Source organism: Homo sapiens, chromosome 11 (genome assembly GCF_000001405.40).
Source record: "Homo sapiens chromosome 11, GRCh38.p14 Primary Assembly".
NCBI lineage: Eukaryota > Metazoa > Chordata > Mammalia > Primates > Hominidae > Homo > Homo sapiens.
This window is the reverse complement of record NC_000011.10, coordinates 9,423,360-9,450,619: the sequence shown is the minus strand read 5'-3', so window position 1 is coordinate 9,450,619 and position 27,260 is coordinate 9,423,360. Positions and strand designations below refer to the sequence as shown.

General features: G+C 39.6%; 1 protein-coding gene and 1 non-coding gene across 2 annotated transcripts in view, besides 1 other annotated feature; both read right to left on the bottom strand.

Moving 5' to 3' along the window:
* Positions 1–2,492: 2,492 nt before the first annotated feature.
* Positions 2,493–27,260, bottom strand: part of IPO7 (importin 7) — a 63,476-nt gene continuing 38,708 nt past the window's right edge. Inside the window, exons 10-25 of the mRNA NM_006391.3 lie at positions 26,744–26,843; positions 25,630–25,706; positions 25,358–25,474; positions 21,991–22,080; positions 21,424–21,589; positions 20,786–20,946; positions 19,617–19,745; positions 16,984–17,050; positions 16,774–16,899; positions 15,589–15,686; positions 14,254–14,349; positions 12,646–12,866; positions 12,335–12,540; positions 9,959–10,165; positions 8,423–8,539; positions 2,493–5,523 (exon numbers count right to left, since the gene is read on the bottom strand). Of these exons, the coding sequence (NP_006382.1) occupies positions 5,426–5,523; positions 8,423–8,539; positions 9,959–10,165; positions 12,335–12,540; positions 12,646–12,866; positions 14,254–14,349; positions 15,589–15,686; positions 16,774–16,899; positions 16,984–17,050; positions 19,617–19,745; positions 20,786–20,946; positions 21,424–21,589; positions 21,991–22,080; positions 25,358–25,474; positions 25,630–25,706; positions 26,744–26,843 (2,076 nt within the window). The 3' untranslated portion in view covers positions 2,493–5,425. The remainder of the gene's footprint in view (positions 5,524–8,422; positions 8,540–9,958; positions 10,166–12,334; positions 12,541–12,645; positions 12,867–14,253; positions 14,350–15,588; positions 15,687–16,773; positions 16,900–16,983; positions 17,051–19,616; positions 19,746–20,785; positions 20,947–21,423; positions 21,590–21,990; positions 22,081–25,357; positions 25,475–25,629; positions 25,707–26,743; positions 26,844–27,260) is intronic.
* Positions 21,604–21,898: a silencer, noted in NCBI's record as "tiled region #11606; HepG2 Repressive DNase matched - State 15:Elon". NCBI's record gives its function as "represses a minimal TATA promoter and a strong SV40 promoter by Sharpr-MPRA in HepG2 cells {active_cell/tissue: HepG2}" and the evidence as "EXISTENCE:reporter gene assay evidence [ECO:0000049][PMID:27701403]".
* SNORA23 (small nucleolar RNA, H/ACA box 23) lies at positions 21,666–21,854 on the bottom strand. The gene has a single exon (NR_002962.2). It is a non-coding gene; the product is annotated as a small nucleolar RNA, H/ACA box 23 (small nucleolar RNA).

Sequence of the window (27,260 nt, the reverse complement as noted above, 5' to 3'; positions counted from 1 at the left end):
CTTCAAGTTGTGTTTTGTTTTTTTTTTTTTTTTTTTGAGACAGCATCTCGCTCTGTCGCCCAGGCTGGAGTGTAGTGGGGGGATCTTGGCTCACTGCAACCTCTGCCTCTGCCTCCCAAGTACCTGGGATTACTGGCGCCCACCACTACGCCGAGCTAATTTTTGTGTTTTTAGTAGAGACAGGGTTTCACTATGTTGGCCAGGCTGGTATGGAACTCCTGACCTCAGATGATCCACCCATCTCAGCCTCCCAAAGTGTTGGGATTACAGGCCTGAGCCACTGCGCCTGGCCTGTGTGTGTATATCCTTTATGGCTTTCTAGATATAAGATCATGTCATCTGTGAATACAGTTTTAATTTCCTTTCCAATCTGCATGTCTTCTATTTCTTCTTTCCTATTTTCCCTGACTAGGACTTCCTGTACAATGTTGAATAGAAGTGGCAGAAGGGAGCATCCTTGTCTTCGTCTTTGGTAGAACATTTTTCTTTCACTATCAAGTCTATTAGCTTTATAGTTTTGTTAGATGCGTTTTATCACATTAAGGAAGTTCCTTTTTCTAGTTTCTTGGATTTGTTTAAAAAAAAGATTCAGAAAGAAACCTTAAAATGCTCCGGTAGACTGGGTGCGGTGGCACACACCTGTAATCCCAACACTTTGGGAAACCGAGGTGGTCAGATCACCTGAGGTTGGGAGTTTGAGACCAGCCTGACCAACATGGAGAAACCCCGTCTCTACTAAAATTACAAAACTTAGCTGGATGTGGTGGCACATGCCTGTAATCCCAGTTAATGGGGAGGCTGAGGCAGGAGAGTCTCTTGAACCCGGGAGGCAGAGGTTGAGGTGAGCCGAGATCATGCCATTGCACCCCTGCCTGGGCAACAAGAGCGAGATTCCGTCTCCAAAAAAAAAAAAAAAAGGCTCTGGTAGTTATAGAGCTCAAATATTGTATGTAATTGACAAATCCCAATTTATATATGAAAGTAGAATCTATTATTTTTTTTTTTTCTGAGACAGGTCTTACTCTGTCGCCCAGGTTGGAGTGCAGTGGTGCAATCTTGGCTCACTGCAACCCCCGTCTCCCAGGGTGAAGCAATTCTCCTGCCTCAGCCTTCTGAGTAGCTGGGATTACAGGCATGCGCCACCACGCCCAGCTAATTTTTGTATTTTTAGTAGAGATGGGGTTTCACCACGTTGGCCAGGCTGGTCTTGAACTCCTGGCCTCAGGTAATCTGCCAGCCTCAGCCTCCCAAAGTGCTGGGATTACAGGAATCAGCCACCATGCCCAGCCTATTATTATTTTTTAAGACAGGGTCTTGCTGTATTGCCTAGGCTAGTCCTGCACTCCTGGGCTCAAGTGATCCTCCGGCCTTAGCCTTCCAAAGTGCTTGGATTACAGGCATAAGCCACCGTGCCTGGCCCAGCATCTATAAATATATAAAGGAGAATTCTCACCTGTGCCTTAACACCTGGAGGGGGCCGGGCGCAGTGGCTCACGCCTATAATCCCAGCACTTGGGAGGCCGAGGTGGGTGGATCACGAGGTCAGGAGTTCCAGACCAGCCTGGCTGAGATGATGAAACCCCTTCTCTACTAAAAATAGAAAAATTAGCCAGGTGCAGTGGCAGGCACCTGTAATCCCAGCTACTCAGGAGGCTGAGGCAGGAGAATCACTTGAACTTGGATGGCAGAGGTTGCAGTGAGCGAAGATCGTGCCACTGCACTCCACCCTGGGTGACAGAGTAAGACTCCATCTCAGGGAAAAAAAAAAAAAAAACCACCACCACCACCAAAAAAACACCTGGAGTGGGGATGACTACCTCACACAGACACACACACACACAAGAACTTATATATTTCTCCTATAGTGCTAAAACCAAAGATTTTGCCTAGCTTAAGAACCACATTGTCCAGCTTCTTTTGATATGCATGGTCATAAGAATATGTTTTGACCCTTTATATAAGGGGCAACAATGAGTACAGCCTACTGTATTGGTCCTTAAAGGAAAGGGATATATCTGTCCCCATTGTTTGTTTTATGCAGTCATAATACTACATACAAATCTATTCAGTGGTAATACTACATACAAAGGATGAAGGGCCTAGAACAGTATTGGATCACTTCAGTTAGCTGAGTTACAGCCTGGGTCTAGAAGACCTTTGGAGAAGCATACTGCTTCTGCTAATGCTAGTTTTTGGATTGCCAGGTCAACTTAAAATGTTAACTGTTTATGTTAAAGAATCTATTATCCTAGCCTTCTCTAATTTGCAGGTCTGATTTAGGTAACTCCCCCAATTGAGAGATGCCAGTACTATCTCCAAGAGCACTTTCCAGGTAACCTTTGTTTACCATGAGCCAAAGTGTGAAGTGGCTATTGCAAGAATGGCCAACTCACCAAGGATAAAAGCTAGAATTCAGTAGGCACTGATAAATGGTCACAGAAAATCTTTACCAAAATTTAAATTACAAAGAACAGAACTGACAGTTTTATAACTGATGTTTTAAATTTAAGTCATTTATTTTACAAACAGAGACTACCTATTATACTTAAGACATTGTGTTAGATCTTTGCCAAAGACATGGTTTAGTCATACTAATGTAATCCATTTTTTAACTTTCCATATTAATTTAATTTTTAATTCATTTTTCTTTATGCTTGCTTCAGGGGCTACATCTGGGACTGAATAGCAGCATATGGCCCAAGGGCTGTGGTTTTGCCACTCATGCTCTATACTCTAGTCTCTTCCAGAGTTGAGTATAGCAGTCACTATCTTAATACAGTGTGTCACTATTTTATTACCTGCAGAGAAACAGATTAACTTCCTTTATTTAATACTGATAAATAGAAAGGCTTTTTCAAGAAAAAAAAAGAAAGCTTACATTTACAAAAGTGATTTATGCTAATATGTGCCATTAACAAAGACAAATACTGAAATCCACACAAAATCAGAATTAACTTCTACAACTAAAAAAAAATTACAGGGTAATAAAACTGTAGGAAAAGCTGTATGTAAAAAGAAAAAAAGACAAGTCCCTATGTAGCTAATTACAAGAGAATATTGTAAATACATTCAAAAAGTTTTCCAAAAATCCTGCAGCCTCATCTAGAAACTGATACATGTTAAGATTCTTGATCTATACCAAATTATAATGTTAAAGGAAATCATGAAAACTGAGGTATATATTTGATGCATTAGAAACTATCATTTGAACACTATTTAAATAGTTTAATTATAAGGTCTAATTTCAAGTTAAAGTCTGTAAACGGAGATTAGTTTGGATTATATGACACAGGAGACAATAAAACATGTTCTCAAAGACATGCCAATACATTTTCTTGAAACAAAACCTCAGCAAATGAGAATTTTCATACTGTGCATGGGAATAACTAAAACCTTTATTAGATATGATTTTCCATTAACAATAATGTGAAAATTAGAATTATGAATTCAAAAAGCAGTGAAGTCTGAAAATTTAAAAAGTAGACTAGGTATTAGGGGATTAAAGGTAAAGGAAGACGAGAATGTTTCTTTAATACTATTCATTATTTCCCCTCTGTACACAATGTTGCATATATACAACTACTTCATTTTTATTGACTTTATATAATAGTGAAATCCCTTTAAGCAACCTAGGGTATACAGTTGGTGTCCAACTTTCAGGGGATTTTCGGGGGGGAGTAGAAACACTTGATTAACAGTTTTCACCCACACACGTTAGACAATTTTTTTCTTTTTTTGCCAAGATTTTAGTAGTAAATTCATAAATATAGGAAATACTTTCACTCCTTCAGTGTTAAAATAGAAAACCAAACAGTGCCAACAGTAGTGGCTTAATTATTGGTATACAAGAAAAACACAACAACAATGGGTTTTCTTAATTACGCATTTTAAATATCAATATGTGCATTTGTTTTTACAGTTATAAATTTTTTTCTCACCTGTTTTAGACAACAGCTTGTAATAGTTTTGAATCCATTAAGATGTTGCTTTCAATTTGAAATATTTTGTGTATACATGTATATAAAAAATAACCCAATGTATGACTCATCTGACCGATGTTTAAGATCAATAACGGCTTATTTTTCAACATGCAGTTAGGAAGAGAGGGAAGCAAGCCAACCTCTCTACAGTATCTTTTTGCTGGCTTGTTTTTGTAGTGGTATCAATAGTGGTTTTTGGAGGGAACCATGTGCCTTCAGCCTATCTAGTCAAGATCAGATACCACGATCAACAAGAGCGGTAGAAGAGATGGGGAAAGGGGAGTGGGTAAGTGTTAAATATCAATTTTGTAAAGTGTGCATTTTGTACTCCTTCTAGGCACAGGATTAAAAACAGGCCAATGAGGAAAAATTTGTTATAATTAGGAAAAAACTGCAATCAAATCAAGACATAATAGCCGAATTAAGTTCTTTTAATAGATTGCATATATAGATGTTTAGCCATACTCTTAGATCAACTCTTTAAGAGCAGAACTTTATATCCAATTTACATGCTCTAGATACCACCTTTTTTATTTTTTACAGTAAGGTCTGGTATTCAAATACCCACTTGTACACTGACAGCTTTAAGAAAAACAGGACACAGAGGGAGTTGTCATTTTTAGCAGCAATGAAATACCACTAACCCCTTTTTACATACCGAATTCAAGTCACTATCAGAGGTGAGTGCACCACAAAGTCACCAGGTACAAAATTGCTAGTTCATTTTTAAATTAATAACTTGAAATTACCCCTGCCCCCCACCCCATTACATCTTTTTATAAACAGCAAACATTTTGCTATTTTATACATAGGCTAGCAGGCTTGTTTCAATATGAAAGTGCTAATTCATTTACAGATTTTTATAATCAGTTATGTAGTGCTACAATAAATGTCCAATAATCTACATAGGAACAATGATGAAAATGATGAAGACTGAATAAGGCTATCAGATGACCTTATCTTATTTACATATAAAGAATAGATACCCAATGGTGAGGAAGAGACAGAAATTGGACAAATACTCATAGGTGTAAAAATTACATCTACCTTTGAGTTTTATACTGTAAATGAGACATTTTAAATAGTCCTGTAGCCCATGCCTATTTTTTCCTCAGAAAAAGAAAAGCTGCCTTCATGACATCCCCTCGTTTCAGATTTCCACAGTGTCACTTTGAAGCTTCAGAGTCAGGATCTTACTTTCTTCAAAAAATAAAGAAAATACTCCCTCTAAGGTACCTCCCATCCCCCCCCACCCCCAAAATCCCGCTGATTTCTTTTCCAGTGCCAGGTTGCATGATCAGGTCCCATCTCCTGGGGTTGTTGTTTCTTTTGTCCATCTATTGATTATTAGTTTAGAATAGATAACATGAACCAGTTCTGGAACCACTACTAGGAGGAACACAAGCTCTTCACTACAAGCACACAGCAGGAAAGAAAGAGATAACTCAATTCATCCCTGGTGCTGGGCCTCCAAAATTGAAAGAACTTGGCACAACTGGAGCACTGAATTTGTATCCTCCATGCTTCTCAATCATTTTGGATTCTAGAAAACAAATAAAATTTTAGTAGGGCATTCAATCATCTACTAACTTGGTGAGAAACTGACAAAACATTAAACAAGCCAGTAGCTTAACCATCATTAGTGGCCAGGAAGTTCCAAAATCCATGATTTCTCCAATGTATAAGGGCAAGGGAGCATGCATTATGTAGAGAATATAATCTCTTTTACTGTATGCTGTAGACTTCTTAGCCAATTTTCACTTCCCACTGTTAAGAAAAAAATCTTTTTTTTTTTTTTTTTTTGAGACAGAGTCTGGCTCTGTCACCCAGGCTGGAGTGCAGCGGCACGATCTTGGCTCACTGCAATCTCTGCCTCCCAGGTGCAAGCGATTCTCTCCTGCCTTAGCCTCCCAAGTAGCTGGGACTACAAGTGCGTGCCACCACGCCCGGGTAATTTTTTGTATTTTTAGTAGAGGCAGGGTTTCACCATGTTGGCCAGGTTGGTCTAGAACTCCCGACCTCAAGTGATCCATCCGCCTCAGGAGTCAGGAGTTTTTGAGACCAGCCTGGCCAACATAGTGAAACCTCGTCTCTACTAAAAATACAAAAATTAGTTGGGTGTGGTGGTGCGTGCCTGCAATCTCAGCTACTCGGAAGCTGAGGCACGAGAATCACTTGAAATCGGGAGATGGAGGTGGCAGTGAGCCGAGATTGCACCACTGCACTCCAGCCTGGGTGACAGTGTCACTCAAACAAATAAATAAAATAATTTTTTTAATTTATAAAAAAAAGTCTATAGATAATTGTTTGCATTAACAATGGTGTATAACCTAAAATGTACTTTTGTTTATTTTTTTTTTTAGAGACAGAGTTTCACTCTGTCACCCAGGCTGGAGTGCAGTGGCGCAATGTTGGCTCACTGCAACCTCTGCCTCCCAGGTTCGAGCGATTCTCCTGCCTCTGCTTCCCAAGTAGCTGGGACTACAGGTGTGCACCACCATGTCCAGCTAATTTTTGTGTTTTTTAGTAAAGACAGGGTTTCACTGTATGTTGGCCAGGCTGCTCTCAAACTCCTGACCTCAAGTAATCCGCCAGCCTCAGCCTCCCAAAGTGCTGGGATTATAGGCGTGAGCCACCGCGCCTGGCTTAAAATGTACTTTTAAAAATTGCACACTGAAACATTTAAAGATGAAAAGATATGTCTGGGAGCTATTTAACTTCGTAAGTTTTTACATTTTTGGAGACGGGGTCTCACTCTGGCACCCAGGCTAGAGTACAGTGGCACAATAATGGCTCACTATAACCTACACCTCCCACATTCAAGTGATCCTCCAGCCTCAGCCTCCCAAGTAGCTGGGACTACAGGCATGCACCACCATGCCTGGCTAATTTTATTTTTTGTAGAGATGATGTCTCACTATGTTGCCCAGGCTGGACTTCAACTTCCAAACTCAAGCAACCCTCCTGTCTTGGCCTCCCAAAGTGCTGGGATTACAGGCATGAGCCACCACGCCTGGCCAAGTGTTTAAATTTTTTTTTTTTTTTTTTGAGACGGAGTTTCGCTCTTGTTGCCCAGGCTGGAGTGCAATGGCGCGACCTCGGCTCACCGCAACCTCCACCTCCCGGGTTCAAGCAATTCTCCTGCCTCAGCCTCCCGAGTAGCTGGGATTACAGGCATGCCTACCACGCCTGGCTAATTTTGTATTTGCAGTAGAGATGGGGTTTCTCCACGTTGGTCAGGCTGGTCTCGAACTCTAAACCTCAGGTGATCCACCCGCCTCAGCCTCCCAAAGTGCTGGGATTACAGGTGTGAGCCACTGCGCCCGGCTTAGGTGTTTACATTTTTAACAGAACTTTCTACTATCTAACCATCACCATGAGCTAAAGTTATTGCAAACTGAAAGTAGTCTTCAACTGTACTTTTTTTTGTTTTTTTGAGACAGACTTTTGCTCTTGTCACCCAGGCTGCAGTGCAATGGCGTGATGTCGGCTCACTGCAACCTCTGCCTCCTGGGTTCAAGGACTTGCCTGCCCCAGCCTCCCAAGTAGCTGGGATTACAAGCATGCGCCACCATGTCTGGCTGTGTTCTCTAGTTTTTTTTGTTTCTGTTTTTTTGGAGATGGAGTCTCGTTCTGTTGCCCAGGATGGAGAACAGTAGTGCAATCTCAACTCACTGCAACCTCCGCCTCCTAGGTTCAAGCAATTTTCCTGCCTCAGCCTCCTGAGTAGCTGGGAATATAGGCATGTGCCACCATGCCTGGCTAGTTTTTTGTATTTTAGTAGAGACAGAGTTTGGTCATGTTGCCCAGGCTGGTCTCAAACTCCCGAGCTCAGGCAATCCACCCACCGTGGCCTCCCAAAGTGCTGGAATTACAGGCATGAGCCACCACACCTGGCCCAATTATACTTAAAAATAAACAAACTGGGGCTGGGTGTGGTGGCTCACGCCTGTAATCTCAGCAGTTTGGGAGGCCGAGGCGGGCGGGTCATGAGGTCAGGAGATTGATACCATCCTGGCTAACACAGTGAAACCCTGTCTCTACTAAAAATACAAAAAATTAGCCAGGTGTAGTGGCAGGTGCCTGTAGTCCCAGCTACTTGGGAGGCTGAGGCAGGAGAATGGCATGAACCCGGGAGGTAGAGCTTGCAGTGAGCTGACATCGCATCACTGCACTACAGCCTGGGCGACAGAGCAAGACGCCATCTCAAACAAACAAACAAACAAACAAAAAAAAACGAAAAAAGCCAACTGTAGCCAAAGCCAAAATTAAGTTATCTTGAATTAAATCCCTCAGATTAGAGTTAATTCCTATCACCTGCAACAACTATACCTTTTATATCATCTTAAATGATAAAATTTAATGATATAAAATTAAACGATATAAAATTTTAAACCTATAAAAGTCACTAATTAAAGAGGAGTTACAGTTAATTAACATACCATGGGCTGCTCTTCTTTGATCAGCCAGAGTTGCTATGTCCTGTAACTGTTTTCTTTGTTCTTCATTAAGACCGTGAGTCAGTGCCTGATACCACACAGGATTACGATTTTGAATAGCTATCAAAAAATAAAAACAAGGGAAAAACAACATGAATAAGAGAGGCTTGGTAGCTCCGTTCTACACTATTCCTCCTACTCCATCCCGAGGCAATACTGAAATTCTGATCTATTTTATATTCTCCCAATAATTTTTAAAATTACCATATTTGTGAAACAACAGATATAGGAATAAAAATTAACTACAGCTTATCTTTATGGCTCCAAAAACTCTAATCATTCTTACGATCCATCTCTCCAGCAAATAAGGACTCAGCCTAACTAGTTCTTATATAGTAAGTAACAAACCAGGGAGACTTCAGGAATAAAGCTAACCCAACCATCTTAAAAGATTCAGAGCTAAAGCAACTTGAAAATCATCAAGGCTACTGTGGTACATGGGCCCCGTGTTAGGAACCATTCTTTAGGGACTGACATGTGGTGTCTGTCTACAAAGTACAAGGCACAGAAACAACAAGTTTGGCACCTCAATCAGTTCTTGCTGCCATGTAGCTCAGAAACCAGCACTTTGTGCTTCTGTAACCTTGCATCAAAACTGCCTTGTCATGGGCTTAGAAGACTCAAATCCTTGGTTATCAGATAATGTATTCTATCAAAAAATATATTCATCAGTTCCCAGTGCATAGGAAATGATATATAACAGCAATTAACTCTGAGAGGAAAAGATGTTTCAAATACAGGGGAAATTTAATTTCTTAACGTGGATGGTAAAACACAAATGCTATACCTTGTTGAAATCCAAGTAAATGATGGTAAAAACCAACCAGAACCTAGTATTCTGGAGCCACATACAATGACACATTATAGGAACAGTGGACTTTTCTTGGAATATTTAACAGTGTACGTGGCTCCAGAATCCTAGGCATATATAATTCAAAAATCTCAAGGTTAAATTAGTTGTTTAAAGCTAAAAATTTGATTATGCCGAAAGTGCTAATTTAGTAATAATAGATTAAATTAGTTAACACATCACAGAATATAGGAAAAAAAGAATTATAAGATCATATGCCATAAATGCTAATATACTCTTAACACGTTAAGTATAGGTTTGGGCAGGAAAAAAGGATACACACAAATAATAACATACAACAAACAGGTATACACGTAAGAGTGGTTACTTCTGAGGAAAGCTGGGAGATTGGGAATCAGAAGTAGCAAAGAGGCACTGTCACTGTATACTTTTTTGAACTACATTATTTTCCTATAATCTTCCAAAATTACAATCTAAATGTAAAATAACAGGATGAATAAAGAATACTCAGAAACTATGGCAACCTTAGAAATAATTTTGGTTACTTTGCCTAACCAGCCTTTTCTAGTCTGGGTTTGATATCCTCCAAACTCTTCCTTTAAAGGGCAGGCAGAAACTACAACAGATTTGTTCAATGAAATGGATCCACATGTAACAAGTTGACTTACTTTGAAAGATAGCTTTAAATATCTGATACTCATCAACAGGGTTATCTTCATCATCAATGATTGTGGAATAGCCTTCCAGAGCAGTCTCTTCAGCATCATCTTCTTCCCAATCTTCATCATCTCCATCTTCACCAGCCTGCTTAGCCAGAATCTCCAAATATTCTTGCCCATCTTCATCAATATCATCTTCATCACTCCCCAGTTCCTCTGCCAAGTCATAATATAAGTACTTTTATAACAATGACATATTTTGTTACTCAACAAATTGACAATCATCTCAATCACTGTCAGTAAATTACAAGTCACAAGTGACAAGAGAGAGCTCCAGGAATTGGTGTTTAAATACATGTTCAATAATGAATAGAAATGAAAATTTCCATAGGAGTCCAAGAAAACCAACCTTGATTTAATGTGTTCTTAATACTAGACATCTGAAAAAGAACTGCGCAGTATGAACACACTACCGTTACACCCACCAAACCTTTTGTAAGATTTTTTTTAAAAGGCTGGCTAAGTTAGTAAATGATAAAAGACAAAAATAGCAATAGCTATCTTATGTTGAAACCCTTATAATAATTTCTCTTAATATTTTATCAATTTATACACTGATAGTGTACAGTCTTATAGATAAAATGTATTTATCAACATTTAATTAACATAATGTTATAGTGCAAGTATGCTTAGGTTTTAGAATTAATAGATGATAGGATGGATGTCTCCAATAAATTTAGTCAACATTAAGACCATAAATCTTTAGAAGCTTAAAAATAAAATGAAAACCCCATAATTCGCCGGGCGCGGTGGCTCACGCCTGTAATCCCAACACTTTAGGAGGCCAAGGCAGGCAGATCATGAGGTCAGGAGATTGAGACCACCCTGGCCAACACGGTGAAACCCCATCTCTACTAAAAATACAAAAATTAGCCGGTGTGGTGGCACACGCCTGTAATCCCAGCTACTTGGGAGGCTGAGGCAGGAGAATCGCTTGAACCCGGGAGTCGGAGGTTGCAGTGAGCCAAGATTGCCATTGCACTCCAGCTTGGCGACAGAACGAGATTCCGTCTCAACAACAACAACAAAAAAAAACAAACAAAAAAAACCCCCATAAATCTTGTAATAGTAACTATAATGATATGTGTACCTTTGTTAATACTGTTAATTCAGTGCCATCTGCCAAGCACTATTTAAGCGTCAAGGATTCCCTCATGTAATCCCCACAACTTTTTTTAAAGAAATGGGGTTTCACGGCTCAGTGCAGTGGCTCACGCCTGTAATCCCAGCACTTTGGGAGGCCCAGGAGGGTGGATCATCTGAGGTCAGGAGTTCCAGACCAGCCTGGCCAACATGGTGAAATCCTGTCTCTACTAAAAATACAAAAATAAGCTGGGCATGGTGGCACGTGCCTATAATCCCAGCTATCTGGGGGGCTGAGGCAGGAGAATTGCTTGAACCCGGGAGGCAGATGTTGCAGTGAGCCAAGATCGCGCTGTTGCACTCCAGCCTGGGCAACAGGAGCAAAACTCCGTCTCAAAGGAAAAAAAGCCAAAAAACAAAAAACTGGGGTTTCACTATGTTACCCAGGCTGGAATCAAACTCCTGGGCTCAAGCGAATCTGATACCTCAGACTTCCAAGTAGCTGGGACTATAGGCTCATGCCACCATATAAAAAAGGGAACTATAATCTCTCGCTCTTAAGTGGACTCAGCACTTCGTGTCAACTCTATTATTATATACATAATTATTTGGCTTTGTAATACTTTCCCACAGTCGGATAGAAAACTTTTGAAGAACTGCATGACATCTCATTCATCTTTGTATCTACAGTGCTGAGAATGTGTAAAATAAACAAATCTTTGTTGGTTGCATACTATAATGGTTTGAACTGTTCTACATGTTGGTAATACAGCTGAAGTTCCTGATTACATCACTCTAGTGAGAAGAAAGGAAGTCTTTTCTGTGAATGAAAGCATTTGGGTATGATCCCACATTTATTTGGGAGAAGGGCTAGTGATATATATATATATTTTTTTTTAATCTGAGATGGAGTCTCGTTCTGTTACCCAGGCTGGAGTGCAGTGATGCAATCTTGGCTCACTGCAACCTCCGCCTCATGGGTTCAAGCGATTCTCCTGCCTCAGCCTCCCAAGTAGCTGGGACTACAAGTGCCCACCACTACACCCAGCTAATTTTTGTATTTTTAGTAGAGGTGGGGTTTCACCATACTGGCCAGGCTGGTCTCGAACTCCTGACCGTGTGATCCACCTGCCTCAGCCTCCCAAAGTGCTGGGATTACAGGCCTGAGCCACTGCGCCCGGCCCAGTGCGGTAATATTTCTAAGTAGATAAGTTTTGTCTTCTTCCATTGAAAATCCCTTACCGGTTTCATCATCATCTTCAGCTTCATCATCATCATCACTGTCATTCTCATGTTCTGCATGGCAGGCATATGCTCTTTTCAATCCGTTAAATAAAAGGATAAAAGCCGGCAAAATCTGTCCAGAAACCTGATTTAAAACTTGGGGTATCTGTTCCATATCAATAAGAGCACAGAGTCCGAGAACACACATCTTTCTGTCATGAAGCCTAAAAAAAAAAAAAAAAAAAAAAAAAAAAAAAACTGTTTTCTTTTCTTAAATAAGCAGAGTTCCTCCCAAAGCAAATGTAGTAAAATTGCAATACATCACTTACCCCAAGAAACAGTCAACATCATTAAGCCACTGTGTAATAAAATGATTTGTAACTGGTTCAACATTATTAGGGAAGCGAAGATTTTCTAAGGTATTGAGTAGTAGGTGTGGATTATAATACAAAGCTGCAATTGCAACTTGCAGACACATAGTTCGAAGTTCACTTGTCTTAACCTCTCTTGTCAGTCTTTCTAAGGCTGCTTCCACGAATAAGGGAATGCACTACAAAAAAAGATAGCAAGATATTCTAAGACTATAATTAATAGCATGCAAACATTCTAAAAATATTAACTTCTTTGTTGCCTCAATTAACCCTATTGTAGCATTAGATGACCAATATTTACTGCTGAGGCACTGCACTGGGAAATCTAATTTTAGAGAAAGTCTAGTAGTCTTCATGGAGCTATTAAAAGCTCACGACGGGCCGGGAGTGGTGGCTCACGCCTGTAATCCCAGCACTTTGGGAGGCTGAGGCAGGCGGATCACGAGGTCAGGAGATCAAGACCATCCTGGCTAACACAGTGAAACCCCGTCTCTACTAAAAATACAAAAAATTAGCCAGGCGTGGTGGCGGGTGCCTGTAGTCCCAGCTACTTGGGAGGCTGAGGAAGGAGAATGGCGTGAACCTGGGAGGCAGAGGCAGTGAGCTGAGATCGCGCCACTGCACTCCAGCCTGAGCGACAGAGCGAGACTCTGTCTCAAAAAAATATATGAAATAAATAAAAAATAAATAAAAGCTCACGATGATATCAATCATGGCTTCACAAGTTCCTATTAAAATTGACCGTGGGCCGGGTGACGTGGCTCATGCCTGCGATCCCAGCACTTTTGGGAGTCTGAGGTGGGCAGAACACTTGAGGTCAGGAGTTTGAGACCAGCCTGGCCAAAATGGCGAAACTCCTTCTCTACTAAAAATATAAAAAATTAGCCAGGTGTGGTGGCAGGCACCTATAATCCCATCTACTCAGGAGGCAGAGGCAGAGAACTGCTTGCACCTGGGAGGCAGAGGTTGCAGTGAGCTGAGATTGCGCGACTGCACTCCAGCCTAGGCGACAGGGCGAGACAGCGTCTCAAAAAAAAAAAAAAAAAAAAAAAAAAAAAAAAAAATATATATATATATATATATATATATAAAATCAGGCGGTTGTGGTGGTGTATACCTGTAATCCCAGCTACTTGGGAGGCTGAGGCAGGAGAACTGCTTGAATCTGGTTGCAGTCAGCAGAGAATGTGCCACTGCACTCCAGTCTGGGCAACAGAGCAAGACTCTCACTCAAAAAAAACAAAAAACAAAAAACAAACAAAACAAAACAAACAAACAAAAAAACTGACCATGGATATTTAATTACTAAAGCTATCCAAAAAATCTTAAGCAAAAGTTTACCTTTCATGATAACAAAGTAGCCATAAAACTTAGTCCAATTCCTGTACATTAAACATATGATCATTATTATATATTAGTTACATTTTGAACTAAAAATATTAGTTGTCTAGATGTCTCAATAAACAAAAACATACAGAATATGCAACAAATGCCAAAAAATGAAGAAAGAAAGTGGAAGGAAAAGATTACCCCTCTGAACTACAAATCATTATTAGCTTCACTGACCTGGTCAATGCCACGCCCTTTGCACTGCAGAATGATGACCTCTAACAATTTTGCTGCATGACACTCTGCATCTTCTCCTGCAACTCCTGTAAGAACCTGATCAAAACAGAATATAAATTGCAGTAAGGCTTTATCCTTTAAATCAGGTATCTAAATCAAGGAAACAATTTCCTACCCTGTGTACAGGCTCTGAGTATTACTTGAGGTACCCTAATTAATATGAATAACTGCAATGTTCATTGCACAGATGAAAGACTAAAGGATCTGGATAGCTGTGAGGATCTGGAGCTGTCTGCCTCCTATCTTTCATAGTCTAGCCCTCTGGCATCTTGGTCTTTGTGATCAAAGCACCTATCCTGTAGTGCCATTCTGGATTACAGCAAGTTGACAACCACTAACTTCTCATACACAGGTGGTAGCTAAAACACCTAACCTTTCTCACGTAAAGAACTACAAAAAGCTAAGATGTTGACATTTCTAGGAAACCCTTTTCTCTTTAAAAAAGAAAACAACAATAACACAAAAAACCAGTAGGGGAGAGAGGAACGGAGGGAGGAAGAGGCAGCCTGTTGAGGGCAAATGTTGCCCTATAAACTCCAGACAAGAAATGAACATGGACTTGAAGGCTAGTGAAAACTAGATGAGTATAAACATATGAATAAGTGTTCAGGAATAGAAATGTAGATAGTATAGGTATATCTCTGCTCCCAGAATATTAATATAAATAATATAATTGGCAGTAAAAAATGACTAACATAACTAGATGATTATGTGTGACTTCGTGTTCAGAAAGGAAAGAGATGAGTGAAAGAAATCTAAAAACTTCATGGAGCAAATCATTTTCTAACGACCTACAACAGACATTGCTAGAAATTAAAATGCTTCCAATTACACTGACTTTGATATTGATGGACTCCAGTTTATTTGTTTCCCCAACCAAACAAAAGGGGGACATTCATTTCCTATTGCTTGTTGTAAACCTATAGCTGCTAACCTTTTCCTTTATAAAACATCTCTATCCATTCCTAATCCTTTCAAAAATCTCTCAAGTTCTTGACTCTTTCCTTCTTTTGATTCCATAAGACTATGTTAGTTAAACTCCGGGCACTCTAAAATTCAAAAACAAATTCCAAGTGTCAGAGGGCACACAAAAGACATATATTTATCAAAACTGTGGCATCTAGGGACCAATGACTTTTAACTTTTAAAGCCCTTAATTCTGTCAGATCCATGTTTACATGTTTATTACTACAATGTGGTATCACATGAGTTTTCACAATTTCATACATTTTATAGCAGAAGCCTCATGAAATCTGATATATAAAAATGACCTACCTTTTTGCACATACTGTATATCATTTCAAGATACTTGGTGTCAGACAGAAGTGTGTCTGTATCAACTGTTACATAATTATGAAGGAGGGGCATCATATCTGTATTAATAAAAAACATCGGTTACACATCTTTAGTAACACAAATGCTTTCTTTGCTTTTGAAAAATTTCCTTAGAAAAAGGCAAATCTATGAGATCATTTTGTCTCTAACATTCACCTTTTTTTGGGGGGAGGGGGGACACTCTCACTCTGTTGCTCAGGATGGAGTGCCCAATACAGTGGTGTGATTAAAACTCACTGTAACACCAAAATCCTGGACTCAGGTGATCCTCCCACCTCAGCCACCCAGGTAGCTGGGACTATAGGCACACGCCACCTCGCCTGATTAATTTTTAAAAGTTTTTTTTAGAGACAGGGTCTAATAGCCCAGGCTGGTTGAGAACTCCCGGACTGAAGTGCTTTCCCACCTTCCCAAAGTGCTAGGATTACAGGTGTGATCCACTAAGCCTGGCCTTAACATTTAGTTTTAATTAAAACATATTCATTTATAATTAAATGCAGAAATGAACCTATTATTAAAGTGATTTTCTTTGTACTTAAACATAAAAATTATAGACACATTTTTACATTTATATGGAGAAGATTACAAGGGGGTGTGTGGGTATGTATCTGTGTTAACAAAGAATAAGCCTAAAATAACTAAATTATATAGCAGAAATCAATATCATGCATCACCACTGAGAGCATTAACTTCTACTGATAATTGTTCCGAACAGTGAAGCAGTCTGAACATTCAAAAGTGTACGTTCAGGCCAGGCGCAGTGGCTCATGCCTGTAATCCCAGCACTTTGGGAGGCTGAGGTGGGCGGATCACCTCAGGTCGGGAGTTCGAGACCAGTCTGACCAACATGGAGAAACTCTGTCTCTACTAAAAATACAAAATTAGCCGGGCATGGTGGCGCATGCCTGTAATCCCAGCTACTTGGGAGGCTGAGGCAGGAGAATCACTTGAACCCAGGAGGCATAGGTTGCGATGAGCTGAGATCGCACCATTGCACTCCAGCCTGGGCAACAAGAGCAAAATTCCGACTCAAAAAAAAAAAAAAAAAGTGTATGTTCAAATGATAAGCTACAAATAAATCAAAGCAGGGAAAACCCTCAGTATTTCCATGCTGCTTTGACTCACCTGTAAAGTAATCAAAGCCATCTTGCTGAAAGACTTCAAATACAAGGGGTAGTAGCTGCCACATCTGTGGAGACACTTGTTGACATGTCAAACTGTGCGCTAAAGAGAAGATCTCCTCATAGAATTCTAAAAGAGAATACTAAGTCATTAGGAAAATGCTTGCTCATGTGAAATAGCACTAAATTCTTAGCACAATCAGAGGTATAATACCTAAGACATGCTGTTGTAAAACAGTACCAATGACCTGTAAGCAGATTCCCTCAAGCTGTTGGGTTATCTAAAAGAGAAGAAAAAAAATCATATGCAGTTACAGCCTACTAAATGACTTAGTAAGACAACGCATATTATAATTCAGTACACTTAAATATAAAGTCAATATTGTGAAAAAAATAAGTCTTTGTTTTAAAATGACTTACACATTATGAAATTGTGATCTCAGATAAAAATAGAATGAAATACCATTACAATGAGAAAAACACAAGGAATGGCTAGCTTAATTTACCTAAAAAGGAAAAAACAACATTCTCGAAAAATGCAAACAACTATGAAAATAAAGGAGTTGGCCGGGCGCGGTGGCTCACGCCTGTAATCCCAGCACTTTGGGAAGCCAAGGTGGGTGGATCACCTGAGGTCAGGAGTTTGCAACCAGCCTGGCCAGCATGGTGAAACCCCGTCTCTACTAAAAATACAAAAAATTAGCCAGGCATGGTGGCGGGTGCCTGTAATCCCAGCTACTTGGGAAGCTGAGGCAGGAGAATTGCTTGAACCCAGGAGGTGGAGGTTGCAGTGAGCCGAGCGCCATTGCAGTCCAGCCTGGGCAACAAGACCAAAACTCCATCTCAAAAAAAAAAAAAAAACCATTTGGAAGATAGCCCATCTGTTATGTGCAAATAGAGATTAATTCAGCTCAATGTAATTGAAAAGTCACCGTCAATGACTCACAGAGAAATTATCCGAAGGAAGGCATTATTGCTACGAATCTCAATAATCCTTAAGTCACCTTAGTTTTTCAAATTTTATTAGATATAGTGAACCATGGAATGTGAACTCAGCCCCCAACTCAAGACTGACAAGAAATACAAATTCCTCTATAATTGTCTAGATAGTCCTAAATTAGATCCCAAATCCCTGAGGGCCATAAGAATGTTAAGGGGAGGAAGGGTAAAATAATATCCACTAATCAGATATAAAAGCAAGACATCCATTTCAAATATACAGAACTTAATACATTTACAATTCCTAAAATAGAATAAACAATTAATCTGTTAAAACATAAAGCACCTATAGGATTGGTCATGGCTTCTGCTTATATTCAATTATAAGGCAGAATACAAAAACAGTTTACGTGGCTGGCGTGGTGGCTCACGCCTGTAATTTCTGCACTTTGGGAGGTCAAGGGAGGCGGATCACTTGAGGTCAGGAGTTCCAGACCTGCCGGCCAACATGGTGAAACCCTGTCTCTACTAAAAATAGAAAAATTAGCTGGGCATGGTGGTGCGCGCCTGCACTCCCAGTTACTCAGGAGGCTGAGGCAGGAGAATCACTTGAACCTGGGAGGCAGAGGTTGCGGTGAGCCAAGATGGCGCCACTGCACTCCTGCCTAGGCAACAAAGGGAGACTCTGTCTCAAAAAAAAAAAAAAAAAAGTTTAGTGAAAAACCTCATGCTGCAAAAGGCAACTTGCAGAAAACATGTAATTTACGGATAAGAGATACATTACAAGCATCTGCATTGGAATTATAAACACCAAATTCATGACAGTGTTACTTCTATGGGAAGAAAGGAAGTAGGGAAAAGGGGTTAGGAAGTGGTCCCCTGAGGGCTTTCAACTGCATCTATCTCAAATTGTTTTTTCTTTCTTTCTTTCTTTTCTGACACAGTGTCTCACTCTGTCGCCCAGGCTGGAGTGCAGTGGCGCGATCTATGCTCACTGCAGCGTCTGCCTCTCGGGTTCAAGTGATTCTCCTGCCTCAGCCTCCCAAGTAGCTGGGATTACAGGCGCCCGCCACCATGCCCAGCTAATTTTTGTATTTTTAGTAGAGACAGGGGTTTCACCACGTTGGCTAGGCTGGTCTCGAACTCCTGACCTCAGGTGATCTGCCCACCTCGGCCTCTCAAAGTGCTGGGATTACAGGCATGAGCCACTATGCCTGGCCGCCCAATAATGGATTTTTTAAAAAATGGAGTTATTTAAAACATACAGAAAAGAGTAAATAATAAGAAAACTATAACCAAAACTTCTTAATCACCTAAACTTTATTACATTCTTAACACTTAGAATATTTCCATTATGTTAAGAAAAACAATTTCAGGGTCAGGTGCAGTGACCATTGCAATCCAGCTTGGGTGACAGAGTGAGACTCCATCTCAAAAAAAAAAAAATCCATTATTACAATTCTTACTTTTCCAAAAGACAACTAGAAAAGAAGAAAACTAGGAAGATGGTAGTGATGGTTGCATAACAATGTGAATATACTTAATATTAGTGAACTATATACTTAAAAATGGTTAGGATTGTAAATTTTATGCTATGTGTATAACCAAAATTTTTCAAAGAAAAAGAAAACTAAGAAAAATATTTTTGTTTTTCTGGGAACCACCATATTTCTGGATCTGAGAAAACATAACGAGGAGCCAAAATCCTGAGCCCTAAGATGGTAAAACAAATACCTGCTTCCTATTCCTTCTACTAATACTTTAGAACTTAAAATATAATGTACCAATCTTATCTTTATAAAAGGGAAAATGGCAAAAACATGGTACATGAGATGCCAGAGAGATATTAGAGCCCTCTAAAAAGCATAAAATGGCTTGAAAAACTGCAACACTAGATCATCTTCTTACCTCTTTATGATCTTCAACTACACTAAGAAGTGTATCAATTGTATTCAGAATTCCCATAGCAGTAACTGCTTTGTCATCACTACCTTCTTCATCTGGCCCCGTCTGGATTACTTGGTTAAATGTCATTGCCTAGATTCAAGAGAATATAACTCAAGTTTGTCACTGAAGCATTATAAATATGTTTTGGTCTAAGACTTTTAATTCTTAGAACGTTCTCATTGGGATACCACAACAAATCAATGTCTCCAAATTGATTAATGATAATAAAGAGCTTAAGCTCTATAATCAAATAGTCTGCTCATTGGGTGACCTTAAACAAGCTACTTGACTTCTCTTGACCTTTTCTGCATGCCACTTCGGGGATTTCATAGACACCGTACGAGGACTAAATGAGGCAAGGTATAAAAAGTACTTAATATTATGAATAGTTTTCATTAATATTACTGGTTAACACTTGACAATGTCCAAATAAAAGTATATTTAATCATCAAGGGGGTCACTGATTTATCTTTTGTAAAATTCAATCGATTATTTTGAGCATTCCAGGGCACTATGCAGATAGTCATGCTGCAGCCCGAGGTAGTAGTTAAGAACAAGTACCATGAAGGCCCATATATAAATCCCAACCGCACCCTGCCTAGCTTAGGCAATAAACCATTTTATACCTCATATTTTCTCCGTAAAACAGGAATAATTCTGACACATGATTGTGTTAGAATTAAGTAAGTTAAGTATCTGTCAAGGGCTTTACGTGCTACACAGTAATGTCTGTGAAATATCTACTATAAGGCAGGGGTCCCCAGTCTCCAGGCAGTGGACTGGTACCGGTCCATGGCCTGTTAGGAGCAGTAGATAAGTGGTAGGTGAGTGAGCATTACTGCCGGAAATTCTCACAGGAGCGTGAACCCTACTGTGAAATGTGCATTCAAGGATCTAGGTTGCACACCCCTTATGAGAAACCATTGCCTGTCTGATAAGAGGTGGAACAGTTTCATCCCAAAGCCATCTCCCCCGGACCATCTGTGGAAAAATTATCTTCCATGAAACCGATCCCAGGTGCCAAAAAGGTTGACTGCTATAAGGTAAGGCAAGCCACTGGTGACACAACCTGGAACATACTGAGAGCTACATTAAAATGCTTGCAAATATGGTAGGTTCAAACAACATACCAAATGTTGTGTCATTTCTACTGCAATAGGAGTAACTTCTTCACTATATTCACAGATCATTTTCTGAATTACATTGGTAAGGTCATCATTTTCTGTTTCTCTTATAATGTGAAGAAGAGCCTGCATTACAGGTCTGATGAATGGTGTGATATATTCTTTAGCTGTAAGAGAAAGAGTAAAAAACTTGCGTAAAACCCCTAAAACTTCTTAAAACCTGATATAACAAATATCGATGAGTTTTTTAAAAAAGTACTTTCACATAAAAAGGAAGTATGCCAAGTTTCTAGGATTATGGCTTTTTACAATTAATATATATATATATATTTTATAAGAGGCAGGGTTTTGATCTGTTGCCCAGGCTGGAGGGTAGTGGCAATCGTAGCACACTGCAGCCTCGAACCGTCGGGCTCTAGTGATCCTGCTGCCTCAGACTCCCAAGTAGCTGGCACTACAGGTACATGCCACTATGTCCAGTTAATTTTTAAAAATTTTTTTTGTAGAGATGTTGCCCAGGCTGGTCTTGAACACCTGGCTTCAAGCGCTCTTCCCACCTAAGCCTACCGAAGTGCTAAGATTACAGGTGTGACCTACCGCACCTGGCCAACATTCACTTTTCTTGACATACAAAAATCCTTTACCTTTTTCTTGATTGCTGATCAATACTTGAAGGGCAATGGCAGCTTCCACTTTCACAGGCATTTCTCTATCATCAATCAGACATCTTCTTGTTAGCTCTAAGGCTGTTTGAAGGTTCTGATCACTTTTGAACTTCACTTCACAAAAATAGTGAAGTACCCAGCAAGCCTTTTGTAAAAACACAGTGAGTTACTGTAGATACCTTACCTTAAATTCCCCCAAGCTAATCTCTATTCCCTGAGTTCTGTGTGTGGGAATTTGGAGGCTGGCCAGTGGTAGATGTGTCCAGAGACAACACTAGACCAGTACTATGATCCCAAGTTACTCTTTGGCCGCATGATGTTTGTGTGGATAGCAAGATCTGAATGAAAAACACAGACAGACACTGCTACCAGACACAGATGAAACCTATGCACACATTACAGCAGCCATGTAAAGATTTACATTAAACAGAAACCTAAAATAAGACACAGGCTTCAAAGTGAACATTTAAAAGTTTCAATATAAAAGTCCACAGAGTCATTCATTACAAGACAAAAGTATATAAATAATGCAGCTTTAAAACATACCCTTGCTCTCATGTAGCCTAGTTCACTGCTGAAGAGAGGGAATACATGATTCTGCAACATGTATTCCATCTGATCTTTATAGATCTTTTTCTGTAAATATAAACAACAGTTATTTTGATACAGTTCCAAATATAATCATCTCAATTTCCAAACAGATATAACACTATTAAAAATGACTATTAATGTTACATATATTTATTCTCATTCTTTGAACCCCAGAATCCACAACCAATTTTCGTATTCCAGAACTTCACCACCAAAAACCACTAAACACATTTTCACGTTTTTATATTCCTTGATTAGAAAGCCATTATGCCAAATCTTACCAGCAATAGTGTTCGAATGATGTAAGTTTGGTTAATTTTATCTGTTACTATGAAACTTTTATAAGGAAAAAACTTGTCTGATAAAGTTTCTGGCTGAAAATAACATAACCTGAGAAAAATCCTGCTTTCAAACGAATAAACTGGCTATCTAAAAAGGCACACTCTTTTTTTTTTCTTTTTTTTTGAGACGGAGTCTTGCTGTGTTGCCCAGGCTGGAGTGCAGTGGCACAATTTCGGCTCACTGCAATGTCCACCTCCCAGATTCAAGTGATTCTCTAAAAAGGCACTCTCAGTATTCAAAGTGAGTATTTTCTAAGTGGAAAGAAGCTTTTTAGAAGAGTTCCTTAAACTGCACATTAAATCAACATTAAAAACATAAGACACTTATATATCAACACTTACATAATCAGACATGACAACTTAATGCAATGTGAGACCCTAGACTGGGTCATGGAACAGAAAAAAGGACATAGTGGGAAATCTTGTGAAACTTTAAAAAGGTCCATGGATTAGTTGATAGTAGCATACCAAAATCAACTTCATGTTTTTGATAACTTTGCCTACCTATGTAAGGTATTACCACTAAGTGAAGCTGAGTGAAAGGTAAGAATAGATAAACTTGAATTTGCCAAGAGAACTCACTAATTCTCAGCCTTCTATGCCACAAATGATTAGAATGTCTTTAATACATACTTTATAAACAAAGAGAAGGATGGGTGAACAGGTATAGAAAAGATGAAAGACGGCCGGGTGCAGTGATTCACGCCTGTAATCCCAGCATTTTGGGAAGCCGAGGCGGGTGGATCACCTGAGGTCAGGAGTTCGAGACCAGCCAGGCCAACATGGTGAAACCCCATCTCTACTGAAAATACAAAAATTAGCTGGTGTGGTGGCAGGTGTCTGCAGTCCCAGCTACTCGGGAGGCTGAGGCAGGAGAATCGCTTGAACTCAGGAGGTGGAGGTTGTAGTAAGCAGAGATCACGCCACTGCACTCCAACCTGTATAACAGAACGAGGCTCCATTTCCAAAAAACGAAAAGATAAAAGACACAATGACTAAATATTCTGTGAGTACTTAGTGCCTGGCTTTAGAATGTAAAGATTTCTAACAACTCAATTATAAAAAGACAAATAACCCAATTAAAAATGGGCAAGGGCCAGGCACAGTGGCTCACGCCTGTAATCCTGGCACTTTGGGAGGCTGAGGCAGGCGGATCACCTGAAGCCAGGAGTTTGAGACCAGCCTGGCCAACATGGCAAAACCCCATCTCTACTAAAAATACAAAAATTAGGCTGGGGGCAGGCACCTGAGGCATGAGAATCACTTGAACCCGGAAGGTAGAGGTTGCAGTGAGTCGAGATTGCGCCACTGCACTCCAGCATATGGCGGGGGGGCGGGGAGGCGGAAATCTCAGCTACTTGGGAGGCTGAGGCAGGAGAATCACTTTAATGTGGGAGACTGGTGGCTGCAGCGAGCCAAGATCTCACCACTGCACTCCAGCCTGGGTGACAGAGCAAGACTCCATCTCAAAAAATAAAAAGAAAAAAAACAAAGGCAAGCAATTTTTTTGGGGCAAGGAATTTGAATAGATATTCTCTAAAGAAAATATACAAACGGATAGTAAGCACATGAAAAATTTCAAAGCCACAAAGACATAATGCTTCACGTTCACTAGGATGGCTATAATCAAAATATACTGCTGGCAGAAATATAAAATGGTATAGCTACGTTGGAAAATGGGTTCTGCGGTGTCTCAAATTATGACAAGCAATTCATACTCCTAGGTATATACCCATGAAAAATGAAAACGTATGTCCACATAAAAATTTAAACATGAATGTTCACAGCAACATTTGTAAGCAGCCAGAAAGTAGAAACAACTAATGAATGAGTAAATAAAATGTGGTATATTAATATAATGAAATATAATTTGGCAACAAAAAGGAAAAAGTACTGAAACCTGCTATAACACAGATAATCCTTGAAAACATTACACTAAATGAAAGAAGTCACCCACAAAGAGCTACGTATTATATGATTCCATTTATATAAAATGTCCACAATAAACAAATCCATAGAAAAAATGTGGACTATAGGTAGCCTAGGGTTGGGAGATTTGGGGTGATATGTGGAGTGACTGCTAATGTATACAGAGTTCCTTCTGGGGGTGATAGTTATACAACTGTGAATAAACTAAAAACCACTGAGTTGTACACTCCATAAGGTTGTTATTTTTTATTTTTTTATTTTTTTTTGAGACGGAGTCTCTGTCGCCTGGACTGGAGCATGGAGTGCAGTGGCATGACCTCGGCTCACTGCAGCCTCCGCCTCCCAAGTTCAAGTGATTCTCCTGCCTCAGCCTCCTAAGTAGCTGGGATTACAGGTGCCCACCACCATGCCCAGCTGATTTTTTTTTTTTTTTTTGGAGACAGAGTCTCACTCTGTCGCCCAGGCTGGATTGCAGTGGCGTGATCTCGGCTCACTGCAAACTCCACGTCCCGGGTTCAAGCCATTCTCCTGCCTCAGCCTCCTGAGTAGCTGGGACTACAGGCGCCAGCCACCATGCCCGGCTAATTTTTTATTTTTATTTTTAGTAGAGACGGGGTTTCACTGTGTTAGCCAGGATGGTCTCGATCTCCTGACCTCATGATCCACCCACCTCGGTCTCCCAAAATGCTGGGATTACAGGCGTGAGCCATCACGCCCGGCGGATTTTTGTATTTTTAGTAGAGACGGGGTTTCACCATGTTGGCCAGGCTGGTCTTCAACTGCTGACCTCAGGTGATCCCCCCGCCCTGGCCTCCCAAATAGCTGGGATTACAGGCATAAGCCACCACACCCGGCCTATTTTTTATCCTTATAGAGATGGGGGTATCACTATGTTGCCCAGGCTGTTCTCAAACTCCTGGGCTCAGGCAATCTGCCTGCCTCAGCATCCCGAAAGTGCTGGGATTATAGAAGTGAGCCACTGTGCCTGGCTGGCTATTTATTTTTTAAAACTACTTGCATAGTCATGCACATACAAACACACTAAAGAATACCTTCAGAAGTATTTCAGCTAAAGAGCCAATCATATGCAGGGCTCCATCTTTTTTTCGAGGGTCAGCATTTGGTTCTGTAAGAATCTGGTAACAAAATCCCATAGTCTTTTGCAGTACCTAGATTAAAAGAGAAAAGTATTGTTACTGAATAGGCCAACAGTCCTTAAAAAACATACTAACAAAATGACTCACATGACTAACATTTAAAAAGTGTATAGTTGAATAAATTTTAAATAATACAGAAAAGTTATCTAAACATTAAATAAGCCTACCTCTTTCCTCTTACTACAGGCTGTAAACAAAAGTGTCTGGGCAGCAGTGGTAGGAGAAATGAAATCTTCAAACACATCTAGAGAACAAGTTTAAAATTAAGACAATAAACATTAATTTCTTCAACAAAGCATTAAAAAACATGCTTAATCTTTACATAAGGTATGAAAATGATCCCAGATCCCTTTATAATTTTGCAAAAGCAGAATTCAATGTCTTTTCTGTACAAATTGAATGCTTTTGTTTGTTTTGAGATGGAGTCTCGCTCTGTCACTCAGGCTGGAGTGCAGTGGGCGATCTCGGCTCATTGTAACCTCCATCTCCCAGGTTCAAGCAATTCTCCTGCCTCAGCCTCCCAAGTAGCTGGTTTACAGGTGCCTGCCACCACGCCCGGCTAATTTTTGTATTTTTAGTAGAGATGGGGTTTCACTATATTGGTCAGGCTGGTCTCAAACTCCTGACCTCAAACGATCTGCCTGCCTCGGCCTCCCAACACGTTGGGATTTACAGGCCTTAGCCACCGCACCTGGCCTGTGAAAATTAAATGTTAATCCATGAATTCCTCCTAATAGCTTTCATTTTTATTTATTAACTCAGAACTCAGCAGTTTAAATCGTATGTATGAAACACTACTGATGTGAGAATTTTCACAACAGGGTCACAAAAGTACAAGCTGCAAAAAGCACAAATGACTTGGTAAGAATAAGGACCAATATTCAACATTATTAGCCAAATTACAATTCTTTAGTTCTGTGCAAGGACTTCATGTGACACCAGCTTCCTAGATGTGTTTTCTCATTTCCCACTCATATGATGGCTAACATAAGATCCAAAAGTATAGTTAAGACATTTAGTGTTGAGGTGTAATCTTGAATATCTAACAGTTTTGGTATTCAGTAATAAAAACTTAACAGTATTGAATTTGTGTCTGCCAAAAATAAGATTATCATTATCAAATGTCATAATTAATAAATAGCCCCAAAAAGGACTACACAAGGGATCAATTACATTAAAACAACAAAGAAGATACATAATACCCCCTAGGTTGGCTACATGCAATCACTGTAATCTTAATTACTGACATTTTTTGTTTCTAAAAACGTGAAAATTCCTTACCAAACTTCATGCGTATATATTCGTAAGGGTCTTCTTGCCAAAGTTCCTCATCAGCATCTGTATAGCACATCAATGGAAAAATAACATCTTGGATAATGCCCTGCAATTTAAAAGTTAAGAAAACAATAACCATCAGTTTTCAAATTTAAACCTTCAAATTTCCTTTAAGTATTAAAACCAAAGTAACACTATATGTATTTTAAAGCTTAATATCAAACGTTAGTAATGCATTTAATGTGTTCTAAGATCAACTATCAAACTACATGTACTTCCCCTTTCTGTAACAAGTAACTTTAAGATATATGTGTACAAAGGTCGCAATTAAGTATTCTAAATATATATAGTCTATAAAATTCTACAGCTCTAAATAAAGCACATAAATTATTCATAGAAATAGCAGGTAAGTCATTTATACTAGAAATGAATCTGGTGAGATAAAGTCCCTTGGCTACTCCAAATTACATGATAAAATATAATCATAGTCCAATATTAAGAACTTAAATTGCAAGTTTGAAGA